The following is a 20,928-nucleotide window of genomic DNA, read 5'->3' as shown; positions in this document are numbered from 1 at the left end:
AGTTCTAAGTTCCTTGTCTGCAAAATGATCAAACTGTCTCATGATGTCACTGTGATGAGTGAGTAGATTCAAGTATGAGGTACTAGCAGAGAATGATGTGTGATAAACAACAACTGCCTTCCCTTCCCTTCTTCATGTTCCCTGGCTTGCTAGAAGGAAGGCTAGGAGACCCAAAACAGGGAAAGTCAACCCCCACTCCAGCTTCTGGTTGGAGTCTCACACTCACAGACACAGACACCTACAGACCACAAGTAAACACCAAGAACTCACCTGCTTTCCTGATCCCACCACGAAAACTCCCCCAAGGATGAAGCCTTCTCCTTCCAGGTTTCCAGAGAAGCCTCCGTTCCAGGCTCGGAAGAAGTTGTACCACACTCCCAGACGGATAAATCCCATAAACATCATCTTCCGCCTTTGTGGACCATAGAACTTTTTCTATGGAGTGAGAAAGACAGATCCCATATGAGTACTCTACATGCCTGCCTTCCTCAAGGAGGAAACGCTCCTGACGGGGCATTGGTTCTCAGGCAAAGACTCAAAAGGCTGCTGGTTCCAGTCTTCTCTCCCACCCAACACACACACACTGCCCACATTCAGGTCCACTCTTTTTTTTTTTTTTTTTTTGAGATGGAGTCTTGCTCTGTCAGTCAGGCTAGAGTACAACGGCGCGATCTCAGCTGACTACAATCTCCACCTCCTAGGTTCAAGCAATTCTCTGGCCTCAGCCTCCCAAGTAGCTAGGATTACAAGTGCCTGCCACCATGCCTGGCTAATTTTTGAATTTTTAGTAGAGACAGGTTTCACCACGTTGGCCAAGCTGGTCTTGAACTCCTGACCACAAATGATCTGCCCACCTCGGCCTCCCAAAGTGCTGAGATTACAGGCATGAGCCACCATGCCCAGCCAATCCAGGTCCACTCTCAACTGCCAAGAAAACAGAACCCTGCTGGGTCCAGTTTCAGACCTCAAGGTAGGCCTGACCTAGGGTGACATCCGTAGCTTTCAATTCTGACTCTACCTTCTCACTAGTCTTCCACCTGACAGGATGGTAACAGTGCTACCTTCTGCAGAGGTGGGAGCAGAAGAGAAAGAAATAAATGAATTAAGGGACAGGGTGTGGGGCTTTGTACTAGGCCCCCAACAGTGGAGGAACCTGTTGGAGTTTCAGCTATTTCCTACTCTCCCAGTTCACATGGCAGGAAAGACTTAAGTAATACAGATGCTCCTCAACTTACAATGGGATTATGTCCCTACAAACCCATCATAAGTTGAAATATCTTATATTGAAATGCATTTAATACACCTAACCTCATAGCTTAGCCTACACTACCTTAAACATGCTCAGAACACTCTTATTAACCTACAGTTGAATAAAATCATGTAACACAATCCTATTTTAAAATAAAGTGTTGAATAACTTATGTAGTCTATTGAATATTGAATGTGAAAAACAGAATGGCTGTATGGGTTCTTGAAGAAATGTAGAAACTAAATGCTTATCACTTCTGCACCATCACAAAGCTGAAAGATCGTTAAGTCAAACCACCAGATGGTCAGGGACTGTCTGTAACTGAGAGGACAGCTTTAAAATGTCTGATCATGCTCTGCTCAGGGGGCTGAAAAAGGCCTTGCAAGTTCAGGACAGCTGAAGGGAAGGCCAGCCTCCAGCTCCAGGCCAGACATACCTGGGCCACCTGACTATCACACAGCTGAGCACAATCCCCAGCAGTCTGTGTCTAAAAGCCTCCCATCACACACACCTTTTCATCCAGGAAGATTTCTCCTTTGAAATAAGGCTGGAAATCCTTCACTTCAGTCCTGATGTGCTCCTTTACCACTGCATAGAGGGGGACGCCCAGCTGGTCCAACATGCTTTTCAGGGAGGACAGATCCGCAGCTTCCTGTAGAAGACACAAGGGTTCAGGGACATCTGTCCCAGCTGGCTGTGGGCCTCCACATAGGGTGTCAGGTTCCCTCTGCAGCCCAGGCTCCTTGTCTTCTCCAGTGGAAAGCAGAGGCAAGGCTCCTGTTATGGCTGTCCTAACCACAGCTTGGGAGCAGCCATACCCAAACACATCCTCTCCTCCTGCCCACAATGCTTCTCTCCTACATCATCTCCCAGCCCCTTCCCTGCACTAGACCAAACTAACACAAGGGCCCAGCAGACACACGCTCCTCTAGCCATAACCTTCCTTCTCTCTTCAGCTCAACCCTACCCTCTGGAAAGGTATCCCCGTTCTAAAAAGATCTCCCTGGCTAGTCCACCCTGAAGTAAAGCCCTGCTTCTCTGTGCATATCCTATCTTCCCTGTTTGGTGACATTTTCTGTACTGAGTCTGCATGTTACCACTAAGTTGAGTGTTGTCTCTTACATTCCCAAATGTTTCTAATAGTTAGAAACTATGTCTTCCATTTCTTGGAACCCTCAGTGCCTAGAACATGGCTGGGTATAAAACAGGTGCTAAATACCAGGTGGAAAGATTTGAAGGGGGACAATGGGGAGAATGCAGCTGAGCTGAGATGCAGATACCCTTGACTCTCAGGAACTGTGTGCTAGATGAATGAGGGAAACTGCATGAGTCATGGTAAAGCTTCAACATTAAGAACTCAATCCTTTTTTCACATTTGGTGTCAGAATTAAAGAATGAGCAAAAATCCTTTTAAATGCAGTCTACTCATCTCCAATACAAATATGCTGTTGTATGGTTGCAACTACATTTAATTTTTCATTTATTTTCTAGAGTAAGAAAAAAAACAACTAATGAGGCAGAATTGATTACAATACATTTATCAAGAGTTTTACTGACTGGCAAATTTTGCCCTAGAGCAGAGGACTACAGTGTTTGATATAATCAAAAACCACCTTTTTGTGATATGAAAGGTCTTTTATTTTTGAGATGGAGTCTTGCTCTGTCGCCCACGCTACTCGCCCATGCTGGAGTGTAGTGGCACAATCTCAGCTCAATGCAACCTACACCTCCTGGGTTCAAGTGATTCTCACGCCTCAGCCTCCTAAGTAACTGGGATTACAGGGGCGCACCACCACACCTGGCTAATTTTTTGTATTTTTAGCAGAGATGGGCCATGTTGGCCAGGCTGGTCTTGAACTCCTGACCTCAAGTGATCCACCTGCCTCGGCCTCCCAAAGTGCTGGGAGTACAGGTGTGAGCCACTGCACCTGGCCTTTTTTTTTTTTGAGTCTTGCCCTGTTGCCCAACTACAGTGGCACAATCATAGCTCATTGTAGCCCTGAACTCCTGGGCTCAAGCAATCTTCCTCCCTCGGCCTCCTGAAAAGCTGGGACTACAAGTGCACACCAACATGCCTGGCTAATTTTTTTTTTTTTTTTTTTTTTTTTTTTTGTAGAGACAGGGTCTCGCTATGTTGCCTAGGGTGGTCTCAAATTCCTGGGCTCAAGTGATCTTCTCACCTCAGCCTCCCAAAGTGCTGGGATTATAGGCATGAGCCACTGCACCTGGCTGAGATGAAAGGTCTTACTCACTTTTCCTGGCTCTTTACTCCTGGTGTGGCACTATACAAAGCCATGACGTGGAAACTGAGTCACATACCTCCTAGTTGGGCCACTCAAAATAACTCAGATTGCCATCCACCCATCTTTTTGGAAACGTAAGTTTCCACTAAATGTTCTATGTGGGCACAGACCAGTACAGAGGGAAACAGGTTATAATTAGGGAGAGCTGTTGCTCTTGGAACCTTCTGGATTTTAATGGCCCCGAGAAATCAAGTCAAAACAGGCTTCCATGCTGTTGCTGACTTGCCAGCCATTGCTGACCTAAAAATAGAGGAAGGGGCCATAAACCAATATACATAGGTGGCCTCTAACAGCTGGAAAAGGCAAAAGAAATGGATTCTCCCCTATAGTCTTCAGAAGGAATGCAACCAGATTCCGCTTTGGAATTCTGACCTCTAGAACTACAAGATAAATCTGTGCTGGTTAAAGCCATTGAGTTTGAGGTAATTTGTTACAGCAACAGAAAATTAATACATCTCCCCGATCCGGGTGGCTTTGTTACAACCTCTGTAACTGTTTCCTCCTCTGTAATGAGAATAATAAAATGAGAGTAAAACAAGCTGTATTTCCAAGGGCTATGGTGAGGACCCACTGAGATAGCAGGCACACAGTGCCCTGGGGGTAGGGTACTGCAGGCATCACATGCATCCAGCAGTGCAAGTGGATTCTTCACCAGCCCAGCCACACAAGCATGGAGAGATCAGCAAGGCTGAAAGGTGGTGTCTCAGGGTCAGGGAGGGGAACCAGGAGAATGAGGATGACAATTTGGACAGGGCCACAGCCACTGCTTGAGATGCAAAGTTGTCTCAAGAGCAGGAATACTGTCATTCCCAGTTTTCTCCCAGGCAGGGCAGTAATTTCAGAATCTGGGTCTTCTGCCACTGACTGGCTGTGTGACCACAAACAGACCACTAACCACTCTGGTCCTCAGTTTGCCTACCTATAAAGGGACAAGGCTAGATCCAAGTAGTGGCAATGTTCCTTCTCACACTAGCATTTTGTGTTTCAACAATCACAGTTCCTTCCTTCCACTGATAAGCTCCATCACCTACAAATAGATGATGTCTTCCCTTCGAGGGGCCAACCTGGAGACCACCCAGTCAGTGAGCTCCAACTTTCAACAAACTCTCATGCCAAATGCACTACTGGCATGACTGAAATCCCACTGAGCTACAGATTCAATGCTGAGAGCACACAGCAAGGAGGCAGAGCTAACATGTGAGAATGTGGCTCTCAGCTGTCCACGATGGACTCTAAGAGCTCCCCAAGGAAAGAGAGACAGGCAGGTCTGCTCTAATAGGTAACCTTGAAGTGTTTCCTCCGACACTGCAGCTTCATCACAGGGAGGGACTGACCACACCCGAATCAGAAGCAATCCAGGCACATCATATATCTGTGCTGAGCATCAGAAGCATGGAATTGGACCTGGTCACTGCCCCTGATTAAATTGGAATATGGTCCAGGACTCAGAAGGTACAGCACAGGGTGAAAGGCCTGGGAGTACTAAGGGAAACTGAGATGTGTTGCTAACCCCAGTAGGAGAGGGTGAGTTGTTTAAAAAAAAAAAAAAAAGAGCACAAATCAAAGAAATACCTAGAGCAAATAACAGAACAGAACATGTGGGTAAAAGGCTAAAGCTGGCTTACCGACCCTTGGTTCTGGCCGGAAAACAATGGCCCCTACTTGCCAGGATCCCTTTCTCTGAATAGATCCTCATCTGCACTCACCTCTCGACAGAGGAAACAGCCTGGCCTCCGCACGGCCATAATCACAGCTCCATTTTTTTCCCATAGCTCCTTTGCTTTGAAAGTCCTTGGTTCTAAGAGAGGAAAAAAAGAAATTCGATATCTCCTCCCAGCCCAGCCCCAATCACTAAGCAGCTCATGAACCACACTAAGTCCAGCCAAGGTCAGAGACCCGGCCTAGTAGAGGACCTGGACAGGCATTTCACACGTGGGAAAAGACACACAGGAAACACAGACAGACAGAATACACACCTTCCTGAAGAAAGTTAACCAAGCTTAAGAATCCTGTTATATACCCGGTAGGTCCCTCCCACCATGAAAATCTTTTTTCTAACCTGAACATTCAGAAGTGGGACATTTCTGGAAAAATGGCCATTTTGTCTATTGCTGATGTCATCAGATATTGTATAATAATCCTTCAGAACAGAAACATGGCCCAAACTGAAAAAGTCTCAAATTTTTAACCTAAATATGTTACCTGCAATATTATTAACGAAGGAGAGGATAGAAGATGCCTAGGAATAAAATGCTTTGGGGTAGTACAGTACTGTAGTTCAACAAGCCCAGCTCTAAGGTCCAACTGAATCTGAATCTAGCTGTGTAACTCTGGGCAAGTTATTTTTGCTCTTTGAACCTCAGCTTCCTCATTTGTAAAATGCAAATATCTAGTAGCTCCACTTTGGGCCACAGGGCATATTGAAAGATGAATATAAAAGTGCTCACCACAATGTCTGGTAATATAGAGTTGGTGAGGGCTCAATAAATATGAGCCCTTAATTATTTTAGTATTTCCCAGAGGGATCCATGTTCCCGTAGATGTTATGTGGAAAAAAAAAAAATGGGGTCAGGTGGGTGAGAGGGTGGGGAGAAGAGTCTGTAATCAAATAAGATTGGGAAACCCTGGGTTGAACAAAGCTTAACAGGTCTCTCTCTCTCCTAGTATCTTACTAAGGTGACCTACTATAAACCTGCACAATCTCCTGCCTTCCTTTCGCAAGCTTCCTTACTTACTAAACAGATGACGATGACTTCCACCTGGGGGGCTAACATGGTGACCACGCCATCAATGAGACCTTCACCACTCCAACTCTCTTGCCACACCACTGGCATGACTGAAATCCCACCAAGCTACAGCTCTAACACTGAGAGCACACAGCAAGGAGGCAGAGCTAACACATTTGGGTGTGTGGCTCTAAGCTGTCCACAATGGATTCTAGCAGTCCCCCAGAAGAGGGAGATAGGCAGGTCTGCTCTAACGGGTGACCTTGAAGTGATTCCTCAGACACCACAGCTTCTTCACAGGGAGGGGCTGGCCATGCCTGAATCAGCAGCAATCCAGACACCTCATTCTAATAAGCATATGTCTGTGCTGAGCATCAGGAGCATGGAATTGGATAAAAGGTGTCTCCCATACTTGTTCACTCAGGAACTCCTTTTAGTTTGACGATCCCACAAGCCTGGAATTCCTCAGAATACACTCTGGAAGCACTGGTTTAGTAAAAGATTGTAATTATTACTAAATATTATGGAGCAATTTATCATTATAATTACAGAGACAACAACAGAGAATGAGAAATGCTTTTGATAAGAAAAGCTAAAATGTAAAACAGCACCTAAGCCAAGCACAACTACGTAATATGTACACATGGAAAGGAATATGCCAAAATCAAAATTACTGTGTTAGGGTAACAGAATTATTCCTAGTTTAAAAATTGTTATTAAATTTTTCCTAATGTTGTTATATTATCTTTTCAATTAAAAAAAGGAGAGAGTTTAGAAAGAAAGCAGTAAGCCTGTATCCCAGCTCCTTGGAAAAGTACTGAGACCTGAAGGGTCACCACTTACCCTTCTCCAGTGTTTTCAGGTCTATATCCTCCAGGTACTCCAGGGCCGCTTTCTGGGGCTTGGACAGAAACACGTCTGTGTTGGCAAGCAGCAATGCCAAGGCAGCAGCCCCCAGGGCTCCTGCACCAATGGACCACATCCCCATGGTGAAGAAACTTGGGTCCTGGAGGAAAGACATTTCTGGAGATTGAGAAGAAGGAAGAAGGCGTTACTGCTCCCACAGGGTAGCTGGAATTTCATCTTCCAGGCAAGGCTCTGGCAGGACAGCCAACCAGGAGGTCAGGACAGGGGAAGGGAGCAGCAGTGTCACAGGCGAGACTGGACAAGGGCTGCTAAGCACCTGCTGCCACCAGAACTTGGGGATGCAGCACACACATGGAGGTTCCTGCACCGTGGAGCTCACCAGGGCATCAGGAGTGATGACAGAGAAAGGACAGCCTTCTCAAATGGTTCTCTTGCTGCTCTCTCTTCTCATGCCCCAAGTTGCAGCCCCTAGCTCTGTGGAGCTGTGCCGAGCTATGTCCCCTGTAGGCAGACTACTTCCTCATTCCCCTCCTCATCAATGCCTGATTCTCCCTCACAATCCAGGTGGCTCAGGATCATGTCCCTGGGTAGGGGCAGCTTTCTCTTCTGTGATCAGAGGATACTTAGAACACCAACCGCACTGTTTTGTTCCCCTATCTTCTTTCCTCTTTAGTTTGACGACCCTCCAAAAACAGGGACCATATCCTACTCATCAAGCCCCCAGCCAGTGCCCAGCAGGGCCTCATTCATTATAGGCAGGCAGTAATTTCTCCCAATTGAGAAGAGCTTTATTTCTCCCTTATATAAAAACAAAATATGCTTATAGTAAAAAACAAAACAGAGAATACATGAAACCATAGTCGATAAGAAAGCAAATACTCTCTGAAGCTACCACCTACTGATGGCCACTGTTAAACACTGGTGTTTAGTAATCTGACTTTTTTCTCCTGTGAACAGAACTACACAGATGTCTGCCAAACAAATGCAGGTGTTATATCAGAAAGAGGAGGTCCTGGCAGGGCGCGGTGGCTCATGCCTGTAATCCCAGCACTTTGGGAGGCCGAGGTGGGCGGATCACCTGAGGTCGGGAGTTCGAGACCAGCCTGACTAACATGAAGAAACCTCATCTCTACTAAAAATACAAAATTAGCCGGGCGTGGTGGTGCGTGCCTGTAATCCCAGCTTCTCGGGGGTGCTGAGGCAGGAGAATCGCTTGAACCTGGGAGGCGGAGGTTGCGGTGAGCCGAGATCGTGCCATTGCACTTCAGCCTGGGCAACAAGAGTGAAACTCCGTCTCAAAAAAAAAAAAGAAAAAAAAAAAAAGAAAGAGGAAGTCCTGGCAGGGCACGGTGGGTCATGCCTGTAATCCCAGCACTTTGGGAGGCCGAGGCAGGTGAATCACGAGGTCAAGAGATGGAGACCATCCTGGCCAACACAGTGAAACCCTGTCTCTACTAAAAATACAAAAATTAGCTGGGCATGGTGGCGCATGCCTATAATCCCAGCTATTTGGGAGGCTGAGGGAGGAGAATCGCCTGAACCCGGGAGGCGGAGGTTGCAGTGAGCTGAGATTGTGCCACTGCATTCCAGTCTGGTCATAGAGCAAGACTCAGTCTCAAAAAAAAAGAAAGAAAAGAAAAGAAAGAGGAGGTCCTATGGCATCTGCAGAGGAGGCTGGGCAAAAGACAGCTGCATAAGATAAAGGTCTCTGCAACTGAAATGGAGCTCCAGGCGGGTTCTGTCAGAATTCAGCCTTGTTCCTGGCTTCTTCTGCCAGCTAGGAAGACTTGTGCCTGTGGGTGGGAGCTCCTGGAAGCAGCCCACAAAGTACCCCCACCTCCAGCCTTCCTTCTCCCAACAACCACTTACAATATCTATCTTTCCATTTGGTCCTCACGCCATCCTAAGCTCTGGCATACACTGGTGCCTTCTTCCCTAAGTACCAGCCTGCTTCTGTGTGCTTAGATCACCGGGAATAGGCCTGGGAGTGGGTGTGGTAATTGTGTGGCCCACCTCACCCCAGCCCATCGAACCTCTGACTCAAGTCTCCCTTGCAGGACTTGGCCGGGAGAGGATGTCTCTAAAGGATCAGGAAAGGCCCTGGAAATCCAAATGTCACTGCCAAGGGTGGGGGCTGTGAGGGGTGCACTGCATGAGGTGGGGGTGGGAGTGAGTTGGTGGTGACTTTGGGAAGGAAAGGGTAGGCCAGACTAGCATTGAAGCCACATGGAAATTCAGATTTAAGAAACAAAAGAGGCAGCCATAAAAAAAGAACGAAATCATGTCCTTTGCAGCAACATGGAGCTGGAGACCATCATCCTAAGTGAACTAACCCAGAAACAGAAAATCAAATACCACGTGTTCTCATTTGCAAGTGGGAGCTAATCAATAGTATACATGGACATGAAGACAGAAATAACAGACACTGGGGACAGCTGAAGAGGGGAGGGTGGGGTGAAAATTACCTATCAGGTATAAGGGTCACTATTGGATAACGGGTACACTAAAAGCCCAGTCTCCATCACTACACAATATACCCATGTAACAAATATGCATATGTACCCCATGAATCTAAAATAATTAAAAAAAAAAAAAAGGAATAAGAGAGAACCTTGGTTGAGTGCGGTGGCTCCTGCCTGTAATCCTAGCATTTTGGGAGGCTGAGGCAAGAGGGTTGCTTGAGCCCAGGAGTTTGAAACAAGCCTGGACAACATGGGAGGACCCTGTCTATAAAAAATTAGCTGGGCATGGTGGCACACGCCTGTGGTCTCAGCTATTTGGGAGGCTGAGGTGGTAGGATCACTATAGCCCAGAACTCCAGCCTAGGTGACAGAGCAAGACCTTGTCTTTAAAAAAAAAAAAACAAAAAAAAAAAGATGAAGAAGAAGAAAAGAAGTTCCAGGTAACGGGGGTAACCAAACAAAAAACAACATCTAAGAAAGAGGAATTTGGCATCTATATACTTGGGAAGCGGAAAAAGAAGGGGAAAATCAGTGCCTGTGTGTGTTGGGGAAGGGGGTGCTGCTATGGTTGTCTTGAAATGCCTAACCTTGTTTTTACTCTAACTCGCTACTTTGAATTTTATCCTGCTTGTCTCTTTAATCACCTAGCCTTGCTTCTCCTGTAAATAAGACTCTTTCTAGCTGGGAAAGCCAGACAAACTCCAATTGACCCCTTAATTTACAAGACACTAAGGGCTCCTTACCCAACCCCCTTCCGCAAGGAGTTGACCTGTGTAAGCAGATCCTCAGCGTTTCAAAGGAGCCCAATTAACTGATAAGGTACTAGCACCAACAATGTATGAAGTTCCCAGGATTTTTCTTAAAGAGATAACAACATAAAGCCTTGAGTTCGGGTCCGACATACTCCCTATATCTAATTATAATGAAAGATTTAGAGCCTTGCACCTGGTACCGTTGCTCTTTTTGTAACCATTTGTCTTTTAAATTGTTTATCTCTCTGTAACCATTTTGCTTCTTTTGATTCTTGCATGTTTTTACTTCTGTAGAATTATTGCATCTGAGTCCCCCTCCCCTTCCTAAACCAGGTATAAAAGTTAATCAAGCCCTTTCCTCGGGGCCGAGAGAATTTTGAGCGTTAGCCGTCTCTTTGGCCACCCGCTTAATAAAGGACTCTTAATTCGTCTCAAAGTGTGGCGTTCTCACTAACTCGCTTGGGTACAACAGTCTGACATGAGGGACCTGTGCTGAGAAAGAAGAGTTTCTTACTACCCACTATTCAAAATGTAACCAATAAATGGCACCATCTAGAAACGAAGAATCTCAACCCCCACCTTAGAACTAAGGAATCTTATACTGCCTTTTAGTCAGACTGGCAGGCAATTCATAAGCACGTTAAAGTTTGAGAAGCATTGTGTTAGAGCAAAGAATTCAGGACTTCGTGCTTGGTTGGCCATCAGCCACCAGAATAAAGTAAAGTCACGAGGGCGGTCTGGGCTTGGAGAGCTGGGCCCCCCGCCAAGACCCTGAGAACAGAACATTACAGACGTGCACACATCTCTACCCCTCTGCCTGGAATATCCTATTTCATTCTGTGCTTCACAACTCAGAGGCCTCTTTAAGAAGGCTTCCCTGATGTTCTGCCAGCCCCCTACTTCCAGCCTCCCACTTCTACCCCCAAGAGGTGTTGATTCACCCCCTCCTCAGTTCTGTGCCCAAACATCACCCACATTTCTTCTGATGTGCTTGACACACTGGTTTGGACCTGTCAGATTTCTCTCCTTTGGTGACATTCTGCAGTTTATCTCTGAATCTCTCATACCTAGCACAGCGCACCTCTGGTACAAAGCAGGCTCACCACAAGTGCATGCTGAAATGAATTCAACAGAATTGAATTACAGAGACAATGGCTTATGGACAACTAAAGTTCTTGGGACAAACAGGAAAGAACCTGCCACAGGCCTGCTTCCAATTCTTTAATTTGACAAAGTTACACATTACTGGATGACAGTTCACAGAACAATTAGGAGGAAAACCACAGCTCTTATCTGCTTGCTGTAAACAAGAGATTTCCCAGAGCCTGGAACAACTTCTGTACCTTTATGCACTTCCAAAATGTTCCTGGATTTCTGACTTGTGTTATGACTCAGGAGCACATAGAATGGTCTCTGATCACAGATTTGATGGGCATTTCTGCGTCAGTATACAAAGACCAGTTTACATCTATCCCACAAATGGACTCTGACTCCTAGGACACATCAGTGCATTCACAAAGTCCAGGGCCCCTCACAGTCAGCTCCACATTCTTCCAACACACCCCTGCCACACTCAAACAGCCTCCACCTTCCCACTGTCCAGTGATGGGCGTTTGGCATGTTTGCTCCTAGGCACAAGAGAATTCAACTCAACTAGACTCAACATTTATTTCCAAACATTTATTCAGTACTGACCTGTTCAATAAATGGCGATTTGGGAGGACATAAAATGATACACAATCCTCAAGAAAATATGGACCTGGTACACAAATAACAAAAAAATATCAAGTGGGAAGGTGAGGCAGCTTGGGCAATGTATGGGCATGAGGCTATGGTGGTGCAGGAATAACAGCCAGTCTGGGTAGCCACAGAAGCACCCAGAAGGAAGTGGCTTTGGAGCCGGTGTAGGACACAGGAGGCAGCATGGACAGGCTAGGCTGGGATGGGGCCAGCTAAGCTGGGAGACAGCAGGCTGACTGGGGCAGGTGTCAGTGCTGAAGGAACCCTGAGAACTCAAACCTCTATGTTCCAAAGACCCCCATCTCCATACCTCAAGTTCAAGGGCTGGGTACAAGATCCAGACCTCAAAACCCCCATAAGTGCTGTCTTCTGACCTCCCACTGTGATCCTGAAAGTGTGAGCAGAGATTCAGCCCTCTGGGGCAGTGGACCCCATCCTCAGGCACTGCAGCACCATGCTGAGAGTGTTATCAGGACCAGTGGTGAGCATCAGGCCTCTCCATGGACAGACCGCACCCAGTGGGCCTCTAGCAGCCCACTCTTGTGCCAGAGAGAAGCACAGAAAATTCACTTCCAGGAATACCTGGAGAGCACACAGGCCTAGCCTCTTATCCAAGTCCCCTGGGCTACAAAGCAACTCCCATCCTGGCATGTCTTGAAGCACGTACTACTGTGACTTGCTGCACAGTGAGCAGACCCTGAATTCTGAAATCACAATTTTTCCTACACACAAAAAAGGACAATCAAAGGAATTTTAATTTCTAAACAGAAATGATGCATTTTCACATGGGTCTCTAAGATTGCAGAGGTATGGAGGCCAGCAATCCTTCGTACCTCTGCAGCCAGTCGTCTTAGAAGCTGTCAGTAATGGCCTAATTTCATTCACTCAACAGTCTTGTGATGCAAAGATTATCCTGTTTAGCAGCTAACACTGAGGTTCAGAGTTCAGTAACTTCCCTGTGTCACAGAGCCAGCAGGCAGCAGTACTACAACCTGGACCCAAGTCAACAGGAATAGGACTCCAAAGCCTGAAAGACTACCTTTCCTCGCCACACATTCAGAAGTGGGTTTACATCTGCTGTAATTGTTGATTAACAAAGAAAAGAAGAAAGAAGTCGGTCCTGGAGATCCAGGAGTATGATTCCCTCTGTCTTAAAGAGAATGTGTTTTTAATCACCTTGTTTTTTCAGTCATCGTGTACAGTCAAACCATGTTTACTCTAAAGGAAATTTACCATACACCAGATGTTCCTTCTCTTTCCTCCCCCTTTCTATCCCCCCTTCCATTAAGGAAAGGGTCAGTTTCTCTGAAACAGAATAGTAGGGTTGTTTACAGAAGAGCCAGCCCCCACCTGACACAGCTATAGCATTCAGTTCCCCACTGCTGGGCTTATCTGATCCACCCTCTCCCACAGAAGGTGAAGTAGGATAAAGCCACAAACAAACAACAGCTGTGGCAGCTCAGAGTGGCAGCTCTGGTCTGAACATGGGTGCAAGAGGACGAGACCCAGTCGGGCTCCCTAGGCTAAGCTGAATCAATTCCTCCCCAGGCCCCATTTTTCTCAACTCCATGAGGAAGTTCCTAATGATCCCCAGTGACATCCTATGAGTCTAACAAAAACAGGTCACTTTGGAGTCAGAACATTCTAGGCTCCTCAACACTGCCCCCACCGCCCCAAATTCAGTTTCCAGCTTCGAGACCCTGTCTCTTTCCTATACAAGGCAACTCCCTTCCTCAAACGGTCTCTTACCCCCAACCTCAGACGCTTCAAACTTGGGAACAAGGCACTCACCATACACAGCGTCCACACCTCTGCTTCTCTTGACAAAGAAGTATATCCAGGGGTGAGCAGACGGGCCTGGGCAGGCGGCAAGGGGAGGGCTGGAGGCGGGACTAGGTCCCTAGGCTCAGTCACTCCATAGGCAGGACCAGGCCACCCAGAAACCCTGGGGCTCCTTCAGCTGCCAACAGTCAGTCTCCAGAAAACATCTAAATGGAAAGCTGCCAAGGCCCCCTAGCCCTTCAAAAAGTTGAGCAAAGCTTTGAGTCATTTGCAGTCATGCAGATTATAACATTTCCCAAGTGCCACCAGACTCCTCTGCTATCCGGTGCAGACTAAAGAAGCAAAGCTCGTAACACAGCCCACATGTCATACTAGCGCAAATAAAAGAAGATGTCCTTTTCTCTGTGGCTCCTCGTGCAGCCTGCTCCCTTGCCCCATTCCTCACCCCAGGCCTGGAAAGTCAGCTGGCACCTCTGAGGCCCCTCATCTGCTGTCTATTCTTTACCTCCTTTTGCTTTCCCTTCCTTTTCTGCCACATCGGTGGCTTCCCTCAACCCACACTCCCTTCCTGGGTGACTTCCAGCACTTCTCCCACCACTTTGTTATTGACTTCCAAGTTCCTATTGCTGTTCTGACCCAAAGTTTCCACTTGGGGGTTTTGTAGGTGTCTTGGTTGTACCACATCCAAAACTAAAGTCGATTTCTCTGCTGGAGTTCCATGGCTCAGTAGATGGGGGGGCAGGGAGGGGGGACAGTGGGGGACAGGGGTTCACATTTTACTGTTCATTTGCCTTCACTGCCTACATCGACTCAGGAAGTTCTGTCCATCTTCTAAAATGTATCTGCTACCCATCCTCTTCTCGACCTCACTGCTGCTGCCCAAACCCAGGATCCTATAACTCTGTCCCTAGCCTATTTCAAGAACCACAGAATGAATCTGGCTTGGTTCTAGTCTGGTCCTCTATAGTTTATTTTCCAAGCCGTAGTCAGAGCGATCCCAGCACACCCCCACCTGATTACACCTTTCCCTTGTGTTCAGACTCTCACTAACAATAAACTCCTCAGCAAGCCAGCTGATGGGGCCCTCCACAGCTTGGCTTCAGCAAGTGTTGCTCATGTTGTTTCCTTTGCCCGGGATGCCCCCCTCTGACCCAGGCCAACCACGTAAATGCCTACTTATTCATAAGGCCCAGCACACATAACACTTCCTCTCCAAAGCCTTTCCTGAAAGCCCTGACAACTGACTGCTCACTGACCTCTTCTATAGCGTGCATGTGTGTGCGCACACACCCATAACCCTGCACAATGCACAAATGAATTGTGTAAATTTTAGTTATTTACATGTCTGTCTCCACAATATGTTGGCACAATGTGTTGTCGTCTTCATTCCTGCATCCCCAGCACTCAACACAGATCCTGGTAATTATCAGGCATTAAATGTTAATTAAATTATCTGAATTTTACTCTTAGAATTCCACAGTGAGGCAGACTTGGAACTTATAACTACTCAATTCCAATTTCAGTTCAGTATGAAAGGCAATTTTGGACAGGGCTGGCTTGATATTAAAGAAAACACTCTAGCTTGGGACTTAGGTAACCTTAGGCTGGGTCCTCGCTCTACTGCTCACTAGCAGGGCAATCTGACTTAAGGTATGAAGACACTCGGGGCCTGGATCTCATCATCTATACAGAGGAAGGAACTCAAAATTCTATGAGGTTGTCTTAGCTCTGACATCCAAAGACTCTAAAGTACCATGTGACTGCAACTACAGGGATCTGATGTCTAGAAAGCCATGGGAACCCCTGCCACCACTGTTCTTCTGCTGGGTGTGCACATTCACCCTGCCTCCTTTGCTGGGCCTAACTCCTGACTGTTCCAGGAGCTGCCTCTGGGCAGGAACTGATAAAGTCTTAATGAAACAAAGTATCAGCACTGGCTGAGTTAAATCATGTCTGAAACAAGTAGAGACAGCATCATATTCTAAACATCAAGGGTACACCTGCCCAGCCCAGCCCCACCCAGGGAATCGTCCCTCTTCAGAATGAGCTGGCCTGAGGCAGAGATAGGGGAGAAGCAAGAAAAGGTGCTGAGGGAGACAAAAAACTAAGAGTGCACATGGGCCTCCTTGCCTCAGGCCCTCAGTGAACAAGTCTTGAAAGGATGCTTCATCTTCCTTCTCTGGTCTCCTCTGTTTCCCTCTCCTTCCCTCAAAGCGCTGGTTCAGCTCATTTTACTGAGCAAATGAAGAAACTAAAGCTCAGAGAAGGAGCTGGCTAGTCCAAGGTCACATGGGCAGGGCAGGTTGTCAGTGGCTGCACTGGGACTCAGGTTTGGGTCTCCCAACTTCCAGTCCATGACTGTTTATCCTGCATCAGACACGCTAGGTCCTGGGCAGCCAGCCAAGGGCCAGTGGCCTCTAAGGCTGGAATAGCATGGCAGTCTGGGCTCAGGAAGTGGGGCCCTGCAGGTCTTGAAGCCTGTTCACTGGCCTCAGGCAAGCTAAGAGCAAGACTGCCCGTAAACAGGGCCTGGGAAATCTGCTGCCTGGAGAGAACATCATCAGCCTCTCCCAAGCCCAATCCTTGGTAAGCAGCTTATAATCTGAAGCCAAATGTCTTAAGGGTCTCATTGCCTAGTCTCCGCTGAGAAGCCATTCTGCACCTCTCTTCCCCACAATAACAAGACTCTGTCCATCCTTGTCTAGCATACTGATGATGCAGGCACACAGAGCCTTATGAGCAACAGATGCCCTTCCACCCACCCTTGTCTTCATATACCACAAAATCAGTCACTTGCAATGAGCTCTCACCTACCTGCCTCAGTCTCCAACTCTCAGCCCTGCTCCTTGGGGTGTGTATCTGCCTGGTTCTGGCCCAGTCCTACTCTCAAATGCCAGATTCAGAAACCTCTGAATAGATGCTGAAAGCAGCACCAGCCCCCACATTCCTCACTCTTGGGCGTATCTCAGGGTTTCCCAGTAGCTGATTATGTCCTCTTGTTTCCTCAAGCTGTAGGGCCCCCCACCCCTCAAAGAGCAAGCCATTCTAATCTCACTTGCACAGCCTCCTGTCTGGGCTCAGAACTCCGGCTTCATCAAGTTATATGGGTGTGGATAGGAAGGCAAGGCAATACCACAGAAGACACTGGGCTAAAAGCCAATAATCCTGGGTTTTCTCTCTTTGACTCTGAGAGTTATTTTATCCCTCTGAACCTCAGTGTCTTCTTAAAAACAAGGGCACTTTAAAGAGTTGTCATAAAGATTATATAAGAAGAGCAATTTTTAATGCGGTAACGCACTAGAAAACGGCAAAGCAGCATTATCTTTCTCTCTTTTGCAGGGCTCAGATTCACTCGTGCCCCTATAAAGACAGGATATCTGAAGCAGGACAGGCACAAAATAGTGAACTTCTGCAGCTGTGTCACTGCAGGCCTGCTTTCTGGTGAACGTTCTAGGTCTGGTGGGAACACTGGCTTGTCTCAGCCCCTCTGGCCTGCAGGCCCGCTCCATGCTATTCCTGTAGCAGCTAACACTGCCTCCTGCACTAGCAGTGCCAGAGAAGGCAAAGGACACTGCCCAGCTGTAATTTCCCTGTGCCAGAGGCCACTGAGCTCAAAGGTGAGGCTGGCTCTCTGCACAGAACCTCAGGATGGTTCTTGCCACACAAGCCACAGCAGAGAGACTTGGAGCTTCTGCTCAACATTTCACAAAGAAGCAAGAACCCAACTGGCAGGACAGCTGCCCTATTGCTTAGATAGGGACAGAGCCTGGGGCTTGAGCCCTAGAGTTCCAGTCCTATCCAAACTTTCTGAGCACCATTTAAATGACACGAGATGAGAAAATCATCAGAAATGTCTTTTGTACCCCTTCAGAAGTAATGCAGAAGGTCTCAACTAAATGACATGCTCTTATAAAAGACGGGGATATAGGAAAGGCCCACACCAAGAATAATATCTAACTTTAATTCTTGCAAGCTGTATAAACCTGGACAAGGAACTGTTTTGCATCAGTAAAATGGGAATGCTTCCTTAATTACCTTCTACAGAGTTGCAAGAATCAAAGGATTAAATGTATAGGAGGTGCCTTGTGAGGTACCTTACAAAAAGTGCAATAAATACGATGTATAATTCTTCATTTCTAGAGCAATGATTACCCTCAAAACGTTATTTGTACACAAAATGAAGAGTTTTCTGATGAATGAGTATGGTAACGAGTCGGGGTCTGCAGTGGAAATCCCAATCCTCATTCTCCAAAGCTGGGCCCGAGCAGGAGCATTCAAGACTATTCAAGCTGACTTTTTCACAATGCTTTTCAAAACAAATCTTGATTATTTTCTTTTTGAAAAACCACCTGCCAGGTTCAAAGGAAAATACATTAAAATAAAACAAACAAAAAAGCTGAGTTCTGGGTTGCTGGGCTGTGCAGACAGCATGATGTGGCAAGGAAAAGAGGCGCAGGAGCAGCTGGGAACCCCGGTCCGGCAGTGGACTCCCGGGTGTGCCTCCTTCCCACAGCCCTGGACCGGCTGGGCCTTGACTTCCCTTCCTTTGCCTCTAACCATCTCCACCTGCGCCTTCACCTCCCGCTCCAGCAACAACCCTGGGGGCAGATTGTTCATCTTTTCATTCCTAGACCTCAGCAGGGCTGTTAAGTTTACAACTGGGCTCTACCCAATTTAAAGTCAGGCGTTTGTGACTCTTGGGAAAGAGGGGGAACAGGTGCCTCCGAAACGCTGAACAACGCTAGAAACCGTGCCCTCTTAAAAGACACGACCCTAAGCGGGCACAGAGACGAGGACGAGGACTGCCAGGTCCGCACCTGGGGCTGGTCCAGCAGGGCGGCCCCCGGGCCCATGCTCCAGGGCAGGGCCCTCTCCTCTGTTCTTTGTCCCAACAATTCGCGAAGGTTGGCGCCACCGGCGTCACTCAAGGCTTGCGGGCGTGGACAGAGGGGGCCCTAGCCCGCCGCAGCAGCGCCGGGTCCCCGTCTCCGTTCTCCGACGTCTGGGCGCAGGGTTTTTCCATCGGCCGCCACGCAGGGTGGCGGAAGGGTCGTCGTCCTCGGAGGGAGCGCCAGCGCTGCGGCGGCTCCTAAGAAAGTTGGCGCGGGCCCGAGGGGCGCGCCTCACCAGCCCAGCACCCACCCTACCGGCCCTGCACTGCCTCAGTTTCCCCACCTACGCCGCGGCAGGCCCCGCCTACGGACATCACGTGCCTCGCGGAGCCCCGGCGCGCAGCACCTACCTCAAGTGCCTCCCTTCTGCCGGCCTTTTACCGCCCCGACGCCCGGGCGCTAAGGGGCCAAACCGCCCGGCCCGGAGGGTCCCAGGGGCGGGCCCCGCGCTTGCGCAGCCTCTAGCCTGTGCTGCATCGCGCGCTACCGCGCCACCGCCATGTGACCCGCCCCGCCCCCCGTGGGAGGAGCTCCGGGCCTGCCCCCGACTCGCCGACCTCCGGGCCGCGGTCTCCTAGCTCCGGTGGCGCTCGGGCGTGTGCCCCAGCGGTCCTTTTACGCACAGCGCTCGGTCGGTCCACTCCTCAAGTCCGCGAACCGAGGCCCCGACGCGTTCTTCAGGGCGCTGCCTAGGGCAAAAGAAGGCGCTGGACACCCCTAATGGAGCCTGGAAGCACCTGTCCTGCAGCCGAGGCTGGCCAACTTCCTTCCAATCTTCAGCCTGGTTTTGAATAGCTCTTTTGATAGGTTTTTTTTTTTTTTTTAACCTCCATGGGCAGGGGGAATCTAAAGGACCGACACATTCGATGAGCCCCTTCAAGCTGTATGTACAGATTCAGAATTTCCAACCTCAATCCTCCACCCACGTTCCCTTTCACTCCACAATGCCAGCTATGGGGCAGAGAACGGTGAGCCGCAGCCTTGCGGACTCCGGGCGACGCTGAGGCGGGTGTGTCACACACCGCTCATCCACTTACTCCTCCTGTTGGAAGTGCCCACTCTTTCATGAAAGTAGGAGGTTGTGTCCGGCGCGCTGGCTCACGCCTGTAATCTCAGGGCTTTGGGAGGATCGCTTGAGCCCAGGAGTTCAAGACCAGTCTGGGCACCATAGTAAGACTCCATCTCTACGTAAAAAACAAAAACTAGCCAGGCATAGTGGCGCGTGCCTGTATTTCCAGCTACTCTGGAGCTGAGGTGGGAGGATCGCTTGAACCCGGGAGGCGGAGGTTGCAGTGAGCCCAGATCGCGCCACTGCACTCCAGCCTGTCTTTAAAAAACAAAAAAAAGACCCTGTCTTAACAACAAAAAACAAAAAGTAGGAGGTTGGACTTTCAGAGACAGCAGAGCTGACTCACGATACATATTAGTGGTTGGCCGGGCTCGGTGTCTCATGCCTGTAATCCCAACACTTTGGGAAGCCAAGGCGGGCAGATCACTTGAGGGCAGGAGTTCGAGACCAGCCTGACCAACATGGCAAAACCTCGTCTCTACTAAAAATACAAAAATTAGCCGGGTGTGGTGGCGCGCACCCGTAGTCCCAGCTACTCAAGAGGCTGAGGCAGGAGAATAGCTTGAACCCCGGAGGTGGAGGTTGCAGTGAGCCGAGATGGTGCCACTACACTCCAGCCTGGGTGACAGAGTGAGATTCCGTCTCAAAAAAAAAAAAAAAAGACATATCGGTGACACAGTGCAAAGACCAGTCACAGGGCAGCATAAGGTGAAGTGGCAAAGCAGGCCGATGTCCGCCCGTCAAAGGTGGTCATTTGCCTGCAACACCTTCCCCCCTTCATCTGGGAGCTGCCCACAGGTGTACAAAGTCCAAAGGCTTCCGTGATTCACCTCCCTGACTTCCCACTCAGACTCCATGTTCCATGTAAACTTACAGCAACACTTGGGGAGCTTGATCTATTCAAGGGGGTCTCTCCTCAACCAAACTGTGAATTCCTCCACTTCACCTCTGGGACCCTAGAGCCTGGCCCAGGGACAGCGTGGAAATAAACTTAGAAAACGTGAGAGGTGGATCTAAGTTGTGGGGTAAGGGAGATCAGCCTGAGTGCCCATGCAGTTTTCCTGCAGGAGTTAGGCATATGATTTG

The 20,928-nt window shown here is 48.4% G+C and overlaps 1 protein-coding gene across 9 annotated transcripts in view, besides 5 other annotated features; it reads right to left on the bottom strand.

Annotated features, from left to right (window-relative positions):
• Nucleotides 1–19,938, bottom strand: part of PRXL2A (peroxiredoxin like 2A) — a 29,287-nt gene extending 9,349 nt beyond the window's left edge. The window contains exons 1-5 of one of the 9 annotated variants that reach the window (NM_001243779.2): nucleotides 19,811–19,938; nucleotides 7,122–7,301; nucleotides 5,259–5,350; nucleotides 1,761–1,901; nucleotides 271–435 (exon numbers count right to left, since the gene is read on the bottom strand). In NM_001243779.2, the coding sequence (NP_001230708.1) occupies nucleotides 271–435; nucleotides 1,761–1,901; nucleotides 5,259–5,350; nucleotides 7,122–7,299 (576 nt within the window). In that variant the 5' untranslated portion in view covers nucleotides 7,300–7,301; nucleotides 19,811–19,938. Of the gene's footprint in view, nucleotides 1–270; nucleotides 436–1,760; nucleotides 1,902–5,258; nucleotides 5,351–7,121; nucleotides 7,768–13,890; nucleotides 13,935–16,695; nucleotides 16,774–18,698; nucleotides 19,217–19,810 lie in introns of those variants that run through there. The other 8 variants (XM_011540266.3, XM_017016775.2, NM_001243780.2 and 5 more) reach the window with 8 other exon arrangements.
• Nucleotides 6,047–6,126: an enhancer, noted in NCBI's record as "active region_3654". NCBI's record gives its function as "activates an Ori minimal core promoter by ATAC-STARR-seq in GM12878 lymphoblastoid cells {active_cell/tissue: GM12878}" and the evidence as "EXISTENCE:reporter gene assay evidence [ECO:0000049][PMID:35858748]".
• Nucleotides 9,941–10,483: an enhancer, noted in NCBI's record as "NANOG-H3K4me1 hESC enhancer chr10:82177040-82177582 (GRCh37/hg19 assembly coordinates)". NCBI's record gives its function as "activates a minimal SCP1, AML or CMV promoter by ChIP-STARR-seq in naive H9 embryonic stem cells {active_cell/tissue: H9 hESC(naive)}" and the evidence as "EXISTENCE:reporter gene assay evidence [ECO:0000049][PMID:30033119]".
• Nucleotides 16,923–17,422: an enhancer, noted in NCBI's record as "H3K4me1 hESC enhancer chr10:82170101-82170600 (GRCh37/hg19 assembly coordinates)". NCBI's record gives its function as "activates a minimal SCP1, AML or CMV promoter by ChIP-STARR-seq in primed H9 embryonic stem cells {active_cell/tissue: H9 hESC(primed)}" and the evidence as "EXISTENCE:reporter gene assay evidence [ECO:0000049][PMID:30033119]".
• Nucleotides 18,269–18,862: an enhancer, noted in NCBI's record as "H3K27ac-H3K4me1 hESC enhancer chr10:82168661-82169254 (GRCh37/hg19 assembly coordinates)". NCBI's record gives its function as "activates a minimal SCP1, AML or CMV promoter by ChIP-STARR-seq in primed H9 embryonic stem cells {active_cell/tissue: H9 hESC(primed)}" and the evidence as "EXISTENCE:reporter gene assay evidence [ECO:0000049][PMID:30033119]".
• Nucleotides 19,148–19,437: a silencer, noted in NCBI's record as "silent region_2545". NCBI's record gives its function as "represses an Ori minimal core promoter by ATAC-STARR-seq in GM12878 lymphoblastoid cells {active_cell/tissue: GM12878}" and the evidence as "EXISTENCE:reporter gene assay evidence [ECO:0000049][PMID:35858748]".
• Nucleotides 19,939–20,928: the final 990 nt, after the last annotated feature.

The sequence above is a fragment of the Homo sapiens genome, chromosome 10 (genome assembly GCF_000001405.40).
Source record: "Homo sapiens chromosome 10, GRCh38.p14 Primary Assembly".
In the NCBI taxonomy this organism is placed as follows: Eukaryota; Metazoa; Chordata; class Mammalia; order Primates; family Hominidae; genus Homo; species Homo sapiens.
This window is presented reverse-complemented; position numbering and strand designations above follow the sequence as displayed.